This window comes from Homo sapiens, chromosome 7 (assembly GCF_000001405.40).
Source record: "Homo sapiens chromosome 7, GRCh38.p14 Primary Assembly".
Lineage (NCBI taxonomy): Eukaryota > Metazoa > Chordata > Mammalia > Primates > Hominidae > Homo > Homo sapiens.
The window spans coordinates 73,279,852-73,291,799 of record NC_000007.14 but is presented as its reverse complement, the minus strand read 5'-3'; the positions used below and the strand labels follow the sequence as shown (position 1 = coordinate 73,291,799).

The window sequence follows — 11,948 nt, the reverse complement described above, 5'->3', positions numbered from 1 at the left end:
GGCTGGAGTGCAGTGGCGCGATCTCAGCTCACTGCAACCTCCGCCTCCCTGGTTCAAGCGATTCTCCTGCCTCAGCCTCCCGAGTAGCTGGGACTACAGGAACATGCCACCACACCCGGCTAATTTTTGTATCTTTAGTAGAGACAGGGTTTCACCATGTTGGCCAGGATGGTCTTGATCTCTTGACCTCGTGATCTGCCTGCCTTGGCCTCCAAAAGTGCTGGGATTACAGGCGTGAGCCACCACACCTAGCCACCTGTGGAACTTTAAAAGCACATAGATGGCCGAGTGCGGTGGCTCACACCTGTAATCCTAGCACTTTCGGAGACTGAGGCAGGAGAACTGCTTGAGCCCAGGAGTTTCGGACCAGCCTGGGCAACATAGCAAGACCTTACCTGTAGTTAAAGTAATAAAATTAAAACAATAAAAACCATAAACCTTGCATTTTTCTTCACAATGTGCTCCAGACACTGAGGGATACACATCACTGAGCAAGCAAGGGTCAGAAATGCCAAAGGGGCCGGACGAGGTGGCTCACGCCTGTAATCCTAGCACTTCAGGAGGCTGAGGCAGGAGGATCACCTGAGGTCAGGAATTCCAGACCAGCATGGCCAACATGGTGAAACCTCATCTCTTCTAGAAATACAAAAACAAGCTGGGCACGGTGGCTGATGCCTGTAATCCCACCACTTTGGGAGGCCAAGGTGGGTGGATCATGAGGTCAGGAGATTGAGACCATCCTGGCTAACATGGTGAAACCCCGTCTCTACTAAAAATACAAAAAATTAGCCGGGTGTGGTGGCAGGTGCCTGTAGTCCCAGCTACTTGGGAGTCTGAGGCAGGAGAATGGCTGGGAGACAGAGCAAGACTCTGTCTCAAAAAAAAAAAAAAAAAAAAAAAAAAAGGAATACAAAAATTAGCCAGGTGTGGTGGTGCATGCCTGTAATCCCAACACTTTGGGAGGCCAAGGTGGGAGGATCACTTGAGCCCAAGAGTTTTGAGACCAGCCTAGGTAACATAGTGAAGTCTCATCTCTACCAAGAAAAAATAAAGAAAAAAAAGAAATGCCAAAGGAGACTGTAATGATTAGCTAGGACTGGAAGACAACTGAACAACTGGTTTAACAATTAGGGGAAAAAAGTATTACTCCTCTACTTCATTGACTGTACATACACACTCATTTCAGATCTAACAAGACAAGGATGTTTATTATCATGTCTATTCAACTTAAAGTCCTAGCCAAGTGCAGCAAGACATAAACAGAATAAGATTGCAGAGGAAAGGAAAAACTCATTATCATAGACCTGAGTGTATGTACTAAAATCCTAAAGAACATACAGATTTAGCAAACTTTCTGAAAACAAAATCAGTTGTATTTCTACACACCAGCACAGTCAATCACATTTTGAAGGCACTATTTAGAATAGCATATATGAAGGCACTATTTAGAATAGCATATACCTAGGGCCAGGCGCCGTGGCTCACGCCTGTAATCTCAGCACTTTGGGAGGCAGAGGCAGGTGGATCACCTGAGGTCAGGAGTTTGAGATCAGCCTGGCCAACAAGGTGAAACCCTGTCTCTACTAAAACTACAAAAATTCGCCAGGTGTGGTGGCACGTGCCTGTAATCTCAGCTACTCGGAAGTCTGAGGCTGGAGAATCACTTGAACCCAGCAGGTGGAGGCTGCAGTGAGCCGAGATTGTAAATCTAATAAAAGAGAAGTAAAACCTCTACAGAGAAGAAATAGAGATGATGTAAATAAATGAAGGAGGCAGGACATGGTGGCTCACACCTACAATCCCAGCACCCAGGGAGGCCAAGGTGGGAAGATTGCTTGAGCTCAGGAGTTTGAGACCAGCCTAGGCAACATAGTGAGACTGTGTCTCTATTATAAGTTTTTTAAAATTAGCTAGGTGTGGTGATGCATGCCTGTGGTCCCAGCTACTCAAGAGGCTGAGGCAGGAGAATCGCTTGAGCCTGGGAGTTCAAGGCAGTAGTGAGCTATGATCATGTCACTGCACTCCAGCCTGGGCCACAGAGCAAGACCCCTTGTCTCAAAAGTTAAATAAATAAATAACGACATTCCATGTTCATAGATTAGAAGTAAACAAGGTCAATATTGTAACAATGTTAATTCCATCCAAAGTAATCAGTAGATGAAAGGCAATCCCAATCAGTATCTCAGAACTTTTTTTTTTTTGTGTGGAAATTGACAAGTTGATCTAAAAATTATATGAAAATGCAAAAGGCCAAGATACAAGACAGTCCTGAAGAGAAATGAGAAAGTGGGATGACTGACTCTATCAAGACTTAAAGTATAAGGCTAGGGGTAAAACAAAGACTGGCACAAGGTCTAGGTAGAAAAATAGACCAATGGAACAAAACAGAGTCTAGAAATGGACCCACATATATACAGACACTTAAATTAGACACAGACGGTGCTGCAGAGAAATAAGGATGGTCCTTTCAATAAATGTTGCTAAGAGAAATGGGTATTTCTACAGTAAAAAAAAACAACAACAACAACAAAAACCACCAACACCACCAAACACAAAAAAAACTAATTTTGATCCCAACCTCACACCATATACAAAAATTAATTTCAGGTGGTTTATGGATTTACATATAAAAGTAATAATAAAATAATAAAGCTTCTAGAAGGTAGCACAGAAGAAAATTATCATGACCTTAGGTTAGGTAGGCAAAGATTTCCTGAATACTACACAAAGTATGCTAACCACAAGGAAGTAGAATGGCAAGAGCAGGACACTTTTTTGTTGCAACACATACATGACAGACAGCTTGTATCTAGAATATATAAAGAGCGTATTCAAATCTCTAAGAAAAAGACAACAACTTGGGGCCAGGTGTGGTGGCTCATGCCTGTAATCCCAGCACTTCGGGAGGCCAAGGCGGACGGATCACCTGAGGTCACGAGTTCGAGACCATCCTAGCCAACATGGTGAAAACCCATCTCTACTAAAAATACAAAAATTAGCCGGGCATGGTGGTGGGTGCCTGTAATCCCAGCTACTTGGGAGGCTGAGACTGGGGAATTGCTTGAACCCAGGAGGTGGAGGTTGCAGTGAGCCAAGATCACAGCACTGCACTCCAGCCTGGGCGACAGTGCGAGACTCTGTCTCAAAAGAAAGAAAAAAAAAAAGACTGTACAGTAAAAAGTAAATTTCCTTTTTATCTCAGTAACGATTGCCAGTTTTTAATATATCCTGTAAGAATTATTTTATGCATATTAAAAGATTTTTAAAAGCCCGAATAATAGAGGATACTATACAGTTCTGAGCCTTGTTTTTATGTAATTGCTTTTTGAGATCATTCTCATGAGTACTTCTTCAGTTGCCTTATTCTTTTTCATAGTTACATAGTATATTCCAACTTACACCAATACTGTAAGTTATTCAATCAGCTCCCTGAAAAGATAACATGTACATTGTTTCCAAGCTGCTATTATTAAAAAAATGTTACATTAAATCCTTGTATCCATTTCCCAGTATGTGTGTAGGATAACTTCCTAAAGGTAAAGCTGCTTGATCAAAGGGTGCATGTATCTCTTATGTGGACAATTCCTGTCACAAAGCCCTCTAGAGAGCTGTACCAACTGACACTCCCACCTGCAACTCGTGAGGAGCCTGTTTCTTCTAACACTGCACTTCTATGGTTTCTATTTTACGTTCAAAACTTTGCTTCATTTGGAATAGGTTTCTCTACTATAGGAAAAACTCTTGAACATGAGATTTGGCTGGTAGCCCTTCAGAAAAATGGGTAAAGGATATGAACTAAGACTCACGGAAACAGAACTGAAAATAATCATTCAACATATGAACAGATGATCAAACTACTCATAAGAGACAAAAATTAGATACCTTTTTTTCTTTGAGACAGAATCTCACTCTGTCGTCCAGGCTGGAGGGCAGTGGCGTGAGCTCGGCTCACTTGACCTCTGCCTTTCAGGGTCAAGCAGTTCTCCTGCCTCAGCCTCCCAAGTAACTGGGATTACAGGCACAGACGACCACGCCTGGCTAAATTTTTTGTATTTTTAGTAGCAACGGGTTTTTGCCACGTTGGCCAGGCTGGTCTCAAACTCCTGATTTCAGGTGATCCACCTGCCTCAGCCTCCCAAAGTGCTGGGATTACAGGTGTAAGCCACCAAGCTCGGCTGGCTTTTTTTTTTTTTTGAGACAGAGTCTCACTCTGTCACCCAGGCTGGAGTGGAGTGGCGCTATCTCTGCTCACTGCAACCCCTGCCTCCCAGGTTCCTGATATTCTCCTTCCTCAGCCTCCTGAGTAGCTGGGATTACAGGCATGTGCCACCATGCCCAGCTAATTTTTATGTTTTTAGTAGAGACAGGATTTCACCATGTTGGCTAGGATGATCTCGAACTCCTGACCTCCAGTGATCTGCCTTCCTCGGCCTCTCAAAGTGCTGGGATTACAGGCATGAGCTGCCACGCCTGTCTTAGATACTATTTTTAACCTGTGAAATTGGTAAAAGCCCAGAGCTACAATAACCAAATCTGCTGGTGAGGCCATAGAGAAATGGTCCCTCTCATACAACGCTGAGGGGAATGCTGAGTGGTGCATGCTCTGTAGGGGGATTTAACAATATCCAGCAAAATTACATGCTCATTTAACCTTTGACCTGGGAATCTGACTTCTAGGAACTTTCCAGAGGCAAAATTGCCAAGGGTGAAATGACATATGAACAAATGTATTCTTTGCAGCATTATTTGTGATAGCAGAAGACTGAAACAACCCAACATTTGTCAACAGAGGACTAAAGTACCTATGCAGTTTTAAGACCAAAGATGAGTTTCTGTGTACTGCTATGGAATGACCTCAACTATCTATTATGTGAAAAAGCAAGGTTCAAATCTGTATATACTGTCTACTACCTTAAATGTTAGAAGGTGGCGGTTTTCAGATACACTGATATGCATATCGTTTAAAAAACAATAAAGGATAATCAAAAAATAAAAATGGAGAGGAAGGAAAAATGTAGAGTGGAAAGGGATGGAAACTGAATTTTTGAGTGTATCTTGTTTTAGTGTATTTTTTTTGAAACAACTTATTGTTTCAAAGATTTTACATAATTTAAAACAGAACTATTTCAAAAAGGAAAACACAGAAATCCCTGTAACTTTCAAACATACTGAACAAACGAACCTCACTGTATATAAAGTTGGTGTACCCAAAGGACAATTAACATTACTTTAAAACACGATATATTGATTACATGTCCCTAGCATTCACACAGGGATATAAAGACAAATGAATCACAATTCTTAAACTGACTTCAGCCGTCTTAATAATGACAGTGTTAACAATGACACTGATACTGCTTTTTTTAATAGCATCCCGCTCTTATTTCAGAATAAAAAAATTTTTAAGGTATGTTGAGTAAGAATCTATAGAGCAATGAAAATGCAAGAGCAATAGCTATGGGCACCAAATGGTCAATCTTCTTATCATAATGTTGAGTGGAAGAAGCCAGGTCCACCAGACACATGCTGCTCATTTATGCAAAGTTTGGACACAGGCAAAACAAAACTAGTTTGATCGTGATGGGAAACATTAGAGAAATGCAAAGACATGACCATCATAATTGTCAGGAGAAGGCATTGGTTAGGATTGGGAAGCGGCAAGCAGAAGCATTTAGGGATTGGCTGGCAATGTTTTACTTCTCGGCTGAGTGAGGGTTGCATCGGTGTTTATTTGATAACACGTTCTAGGGGCTGGGCAAGATGGCTCATGTTTGTAGTCTCAGTACTTTGGGAGGCCAAAGATGGGAGGATTGCTTGAGCCCGTGAGTTTGAGACCAGCCTGGGTGACATAGCGAGACCCTGTCTCTACAAAAAATTAAAAAAAAAAAAAACAAAAAAAACCAGCTGCGTGTGGTGGCACAGCCTCAAACTCCTGGGCTCAAGCGATCCTCCCTTGGCCTTCCAGCCACTCAGGAGGCTGGGGTGGGAGGATCGCTTGAACCCAGGAGTTTGAGGCTACAGTGAGCTATGAATGAGCCACTGCACTCCAGCCTGGGCAACAGGGCAAGACCCTGTCTCAAAAAAAAAAAAAATTTAATTTGAACACTTCTGTTTTGTGCAGTTTTCTCTGTTATATTTTACTTTTTAAAAAGAAAAAGCAGGCTGCTCACCTCCTGCTGTGCAGCCTGGTTCCTAATGGGCCACAGATGGTACTGGTCCATGGTTCAGGGGTTGGGGACCCCAATGTATAGTATTATTCTTACTTTGTAAAATAAAATGCATGTGTATTAATTTATGAAAAATAAGCATGAAGAATGAATCTGTAAAATGATATACCAAATTATTAGCAATGTCATCTGGAACCATATGATTCTCCTTTTATTTTCATTTATAAAAATATCTGGGTGGTGCATTGGTGAGACTGCAACTTTAAGAAGTGTGACTTTTCCCTCTCCCTCTCCCTCTCCCTCTCCCTCTCCCTCTCGCTCTGTCTCCCCACGGTCTCCCTCTCATGCGGAGCCGAAGCTGGACTGTACTGCTGCCATCTCGGCTCACTGCAACCTCCCTGCCTGATTCTCCTGCCTCAGCCTGCCGAGTGCCTGCGATTGCAGGCACGCGCCGCCATGCCTGACTGGTTTTGGTGGAGACGGGGTTTCGCTGTGTTGGCCGGGCCGGTCTCCAGCCCCTAACCGCGAGTGATCCCGCCAACCTCGGCCTCCCGAGGTGCCGGGATTGCAGACGGAGTCTCGTTCACTCAGTGCTCAATGGTGCCCAGGCTGGAGTGCAGTGGCGTGATCTCGGCTCACTACAACCTACACCTCCCAGCCGCCTGCCTTGGCCTCCCAAAGTGCCGAGATTGCAGCCTCTGCCCGGCCGCCACCCCGTCTGGGAAGTGAGGAGTGTCTCTGCCTGGCCGCCCATCGTCTGGGATGTGAGGAGCCCCTCTGCCTGGCTGCCCAGTCTGGAAAGTGAGGAGCATCTCCGCCCGGCCGCCATCCCATCTAGGAAGTGAGGAGCGCCTCTTCCCAGCCGCCATCACATCTAGGAAGTGAGGAGCGTCTCTGCCCGGCCGCCCATCGTCTGAGATGTGGGGAGCGCCTCTGCTCCGCCGCCCCATCTGGGATGTGAGGAGCGCCTCTGCCCGGCCGAGACCCCGTCTGGGAGGTGAGGAGCGTCTCTGCCCGGCCGCCCCATCTGAGAAGTGAGGAGACCCTCTGCCTGGCAACCACCCCGTCTGAGAAGTGAGGAGCCCCTCCGCCCGGCAGCTGCCCCGTCTGAGAAGTGAGGAGCCTCTCCGCCCGGCAGCCACACCATCTGGGAAGTGAGGAGCATCTCCGCCCGGCAGCCACCCCGTCCGGGAGGGAGGTGGGGGGGGGTCAGCCCCCCGCCCGGCCAGCCGCCCCATCCGGGAGGGAGGTGGGGGGTCAGCCCCCCCGCCCGGCCAGCCGTGCCATCCGGGAGGGAGGTGGGGGGGTCAGCCCCCCGCCTGGCCAGCCGTGCCGTCCGGGAGGGAGGTGGGGGGGTCAGCCCCCCGCCCGGCCAGCCGCCCCGTCCGGGAGGTGAGGGGCGCCTCTGCCCGGCCGCCCCTACTGGGAAGTGAGGAGCCCCTCAGCCCGGCCAGCCACCCCGTCCGGGAGGGAGGTGGGGGGGTCAGCCCCCCGCCTGGGCAGCCGCCCCGTCCGGGAGGGAGGTGGGGGGGGTCAGCCCTCCGCCCGGCCAGCCGCCCCATCTGGGAGGTGAGGGGCGCCTCTGCCCGGCCGCCCCTACTGGGAAGTGAGGAGCCCCTCTGCCCGGCCAGCCGCCCCGTCCGGGAGGGAGGTGGGGGGGTCAGCCCCCCGCCCGGCCAGCCGCCACGTCCGGGAGGGAGGTGGGGGGGGTCAGCCCCCCTGCCCGGCCATCCGCCCCGTCCGGGAGGTGAGGGGCGCCTCTGCCCGGCCGCCCCTACTGGGAAGTGAGGAGCCCCTCTGCCCGGCCACCACCCCGTCTGGGAGGTGTGCCCAACAGCTCATTGAGAACGGGCCAGGATGACAATGGAGGCTTTGTGGAATAGAAAGGCGGGAAAGGTGGGGAAAAGATTGAGAAATCGGATGGTTGCCGTGTCTGTGTAGAAAGAAGTAGACATGGGAGACTTTTCATTTTGTTCTGCACTAGGAAAGGTTCCTCTGCCTTGGGATCCTGTTGATCTGTGACCTTACCCCCAACCCTGTGCTCTCTGAAACATGTGCTGTGTCCACTCAGGGTTAAATGGATTAAGGGCGGTGCAAGATGTGCTTTGTTAAACAGATGCTTGAAGGCAGCATGCTCGTTAAGAGTCATCACCAATCCCTAATCTCAAGCAATCAGGGACACAAACACTGCGGAAGCCCGCAGGGTCCTCTGCCTAGGAAAACCAGAGACCTTTGTTCACTTGTTTATCTGCTGACCTTCCCTCCACTATTGTCCCATGACCCTGCCAAATCCCCCTCTGAGAAACACCCAAGAATTATCAATAAAAAAAAATAAATTAAAAAAATAAATAAATAAAAATAAAAATAGGAAAAAAAAAAAGAAAAAGCAGCTGGGCGCGGTGGCTCACGCCTGTAATCCCAGCACTTTGGGAGGCCAAGGTGGGCGGATCACCTGATGTCAGGAGTTCGAGACCAGCCTGACCAACATGGAGAAACCTCGTCTCTACTAAAAACACAAAAAATTAGCCGGGCGTGGTGGCGCATGCCTGTAATCCCAGCTACTCGGGAGGCTGAGGCAGGAGAATCGCTTGAACCTAGGAGGCAGAGGTTGCAGTGAGCTGAGATCGCACCACTGCACCCCAGCCTGGGCAATAAGAGTGAAACTCCATCTCAAAAAAAAAAAAAAAAAAAAAAAGGTACATGAAACATATGAAGCAAAAAGTGAAAGTCCCCATTCTTTTCCTTTTTCCAGAGGTGATTTTTGTGGCCAATCTGGTTTCATTCCCTCCCAGACACTTTTCTAGGCATCTATGTGCCTCTATTCACATATAAACAAAATAGGAGTTTTCCTGTGCTTCCCTTAAATGGCATATGTATCTTTCACTCTTTTTTTTCACCTAGTGGATCTTTAATACCTTAAAAGCTCAACCTGGGCTTGGTGCGGTGGCTCATACCTGTAATCCCAGGCCTTTGGGAGGCCAAGGTGGGAGGATCACTTGAGCTCAGGAGTTCCAGACCATTCCAAAGCAAAAACAAAAGGATTTTGAGATCAGTGTGGGCAACTTAGCAAAACACCATCTCTAAAAAAAAAAAAAAAAAAAAATTAGCCAAGCTTGGTGGTGTAAGCCTGTAGTCCCAGCTACTTGAGAGGCTGAGGTGGGAGGATTGTTTGAACCCAGGAGGTTGAGGCTACAGTGAGCTGTGATTGTGCCACTGCACTCCAGGTTGGGTAATGCAGCGAGACTGCGTCTCAAAAAATAAATAAAATAAAAAATAAATAAAAGCTCCACCTGTCTTCCTTTTAGATGTTGCATAGCATTTCACACAGTATTGATGTATTACAGCTCAACTAAATTAATCCCAGTATCTAGCACGTGGGGTGGTGGGAAGGATTAAGGGAGATAATATAAGCCAAGTGCCCAGAACAAGGGCTTGGCACACCAGGCTCGCCTTGAACAATTTGTTTTTTTGTTGTTTTGTGTGTGTGTGGTTTTTTTTTTTTGAGACAGCGTCTCATTGCATCACCGAGGTTGTAGTGCAGTGGTGCAATCGTAGCTCACTACTGTCTCAGACACCTGGGATCAAGCGATCCTCCCACCTCAGCCTCCGGAGTAGCTGGGACTACACATGCATCACCACACCCCACTAATTTTTAAATTTTTTGTAGAGACAGAGTCTCATTATGTTGCCTAGGCTGGTCTCAAACTCCTGGCCTCAATTAATCCTCCTCCCTTGGCCTCCCAAAGTGCTGGGATTACAGGGATGAGCCACTGTACCTGGCAGCCTTGAGTGATTTCTCACCTCCTCATTGGCCCAGTTTCCTTATCTGTAAATGAGAGTAGCTGTAAAATATGGTTAATGTGAGGACCAAACAGGTCAATTAGGGAAAAGCAGTGTCTCTGCCAGCACCTGACACTTCTTTTTTTTTTTGTGTGAGACAGTCTCACTCCGCTGCCCAGGCTGGAGTGTAGTGGTGCAATCTTGGCTCACTGCAACCTCCACCTCCCAGGTTCAAGCAATTCCCCTGCCTCAGCCTTCTGATTAGCTGGGACTACAGGTGCCTGCCACCACGCCTGGCTAATTTTGGAATTTTTAGTAGAGATGTGGTTTCACCATCTTGGCCTGGCTGGTCTTGAACACCTGAACTCAGGTGATCTGCCCACCTCAGCCTCCCAAAGGGCTGGGATTACAGGTGTAATGGTTAAGGAGGCAAATCTTAAATAAAGGCCGGGCACAGTGGCTCACGCCTGTAATCCCAGCTACTCGGGAGGCTGAGGCAGGAGAATTGCTTGAACCCGGGATTGCAGTGAGCCAAGATCGCACCACTACACTTCAGCCTGGGTGACAGAATGAGACTCCGTCTTAAAAAAAAAAAAAAAAAAAATTTAAATAAAATGCATGCAATGTGGTCCAGGCGTGGTGGTGCATGCCTGTAACCCCAGCACTTTGGGAGATAGAGGCAGGTGGATCCCTTGAGCTTAGGAATTTGAGACTAGGCTGGGCAACATAGTGAGACCTCATCTCTAAAATTAAAAAAATAAAAGCCACCAGAAAAAAACCTAAAAACATGCCAAGTGACATCAGTCTTTGATGAAAATGGCAGCAGAAGAGTGATGCCATGGGTGGGGGTGGGAAATGCTATTTCAGCAGAGAGGGAGCTGTCATGGAAGACACCATGTGGCTGGGCACGGTGGCTCACACCTGTAATCCCAACACGTTGGGAGGCCAAGGTGGGCAGATCACTTGAGGTCAGGAGTTCAAGACCAGCCTGGCCAACATGGCAAAACCCCATCTCTACTAAAATCCAAAAATTAGTCGGGTATGGCAGTGCACGCCTGTAATCCCAGATACTCGGAAGGCTGAGGCAGGAGAATCATTTGAACCTGGGAAGTGGAGGTTGCAGTGAGCCAAGATCGTGCACTCTAGCCTAGGTGATAAAGCGAGACTCAGTCTCAAAAAATAAAGGAAGAAAAAGAAACCAGGTGACTGTTGTGCCCGTCTCTTGTCCCCGATCTTTCTCCCAATCCTGAGGTCCATCAGCTGGAAGGACATATCCAGAGGCCGGGCGCGGTGGCTCACGCCTGTAATCCCAGCACTTTGGGAGGCTGAGGTGGGCGGATCATGAGGTCAGGAGATCGAGACCATCCTGGCTAACATGGTGAAACCCCGTCTCTACTAAAAATACACACACACACACACACACACACACACACACACACACACACACACACACACAAATTAGCCAGGCGTGGTTGCAGGCGCCTGTAGTCCCAGCTACTCAGGAGGCTGAGGCCGGAGAATGACATGAACCCGGGAGGCGGAGCTTGCAGTGAGCCGAGATTGCGCCACTGCACTCCAGCCTGGGTGACAGAGCGAGACTCCGTCTCAAAAATAAATAAATAAATAAATATTCCTTTTGCTACCTAATTTTGTATTCTTAAATCAGGCCTCCCAGGCCCCAGAAACTTGGATCTGCCCTTGTAGATAATACATCGCTTTTTGTTTCTGTTTCAGTGTAAAGAACTGGCCAAGTCCAAGGCAGAAGTGGCCTGCATCGCAGTGTACGAAACAGACGTGTTTGTCGTCGGAACCGAGAGAGGATGCGCTTTTGTTAATGCCAGGACGGATTTTCAGAAAGATTTTGCAAAATACTGTAGGCGTTTTAATTTTATCCTTTGTATTCCCAATCTCAAAAGGATCGCAGGCAAGACTTCCACAGTATTTTCTTCTAAGCTATCATAAGCATTCTCCTAGAAACGATCCTAACACATCTTCTTGGAT

The 11,948-nt window shown here is 47.5% G+C and overlaps 1 pseudogene, besides 3 other annotated features; it reads left to right on the top strand.

Annotated features, from left to right (window-relative positions):
- Window positions 6,765-7,355: an enhancer, noted in NCBI's record as "H3K27ac hESC enhancer chr7:72698447-72699037 (GRCh37/hg19 assembly coordinates)". NCBI's record gives its function as "activates a minimal SCP1, AML or CMV promoter by ChIP-STARR-seq in naive H9 embryonic stem cells {active_cell/tissue: H9 hESC(naive)}" and the evidence as "EXISTENCE:reporter gene assay evidence [ECO:0000049][PMID:30033119]".
- Window positions 11,681-11,948, top strand: part of GTF2IRD2P1 (GTF2I repeat domain containing 2 pseudogene 1) — a 37,369-nt pseudogene continuing 37,101 nt past the window's right edge.
- Window positions 11,826-11,948: part of a biological region, named in NCBI's record as "Williams-Beuren syndrome centromeric block B recombination region", that runs on past the window's edge. NCBI's record gives its function as "recombination_partner: LOC106029312".
- Window positions 11,826-11,948: part of a non allelic homologous recombination region, noted in NCBI's record as "sub-region SSN9-SSN11, recombines with sub-region SSN9'-SSN11' within the WBS medial block B recombination region", that runs on past the window's edge. NCBI's record gives the evidence for it as "EXISTENCE:restriction fragment detection evidence [ECO:0001124][PMID:12796854]".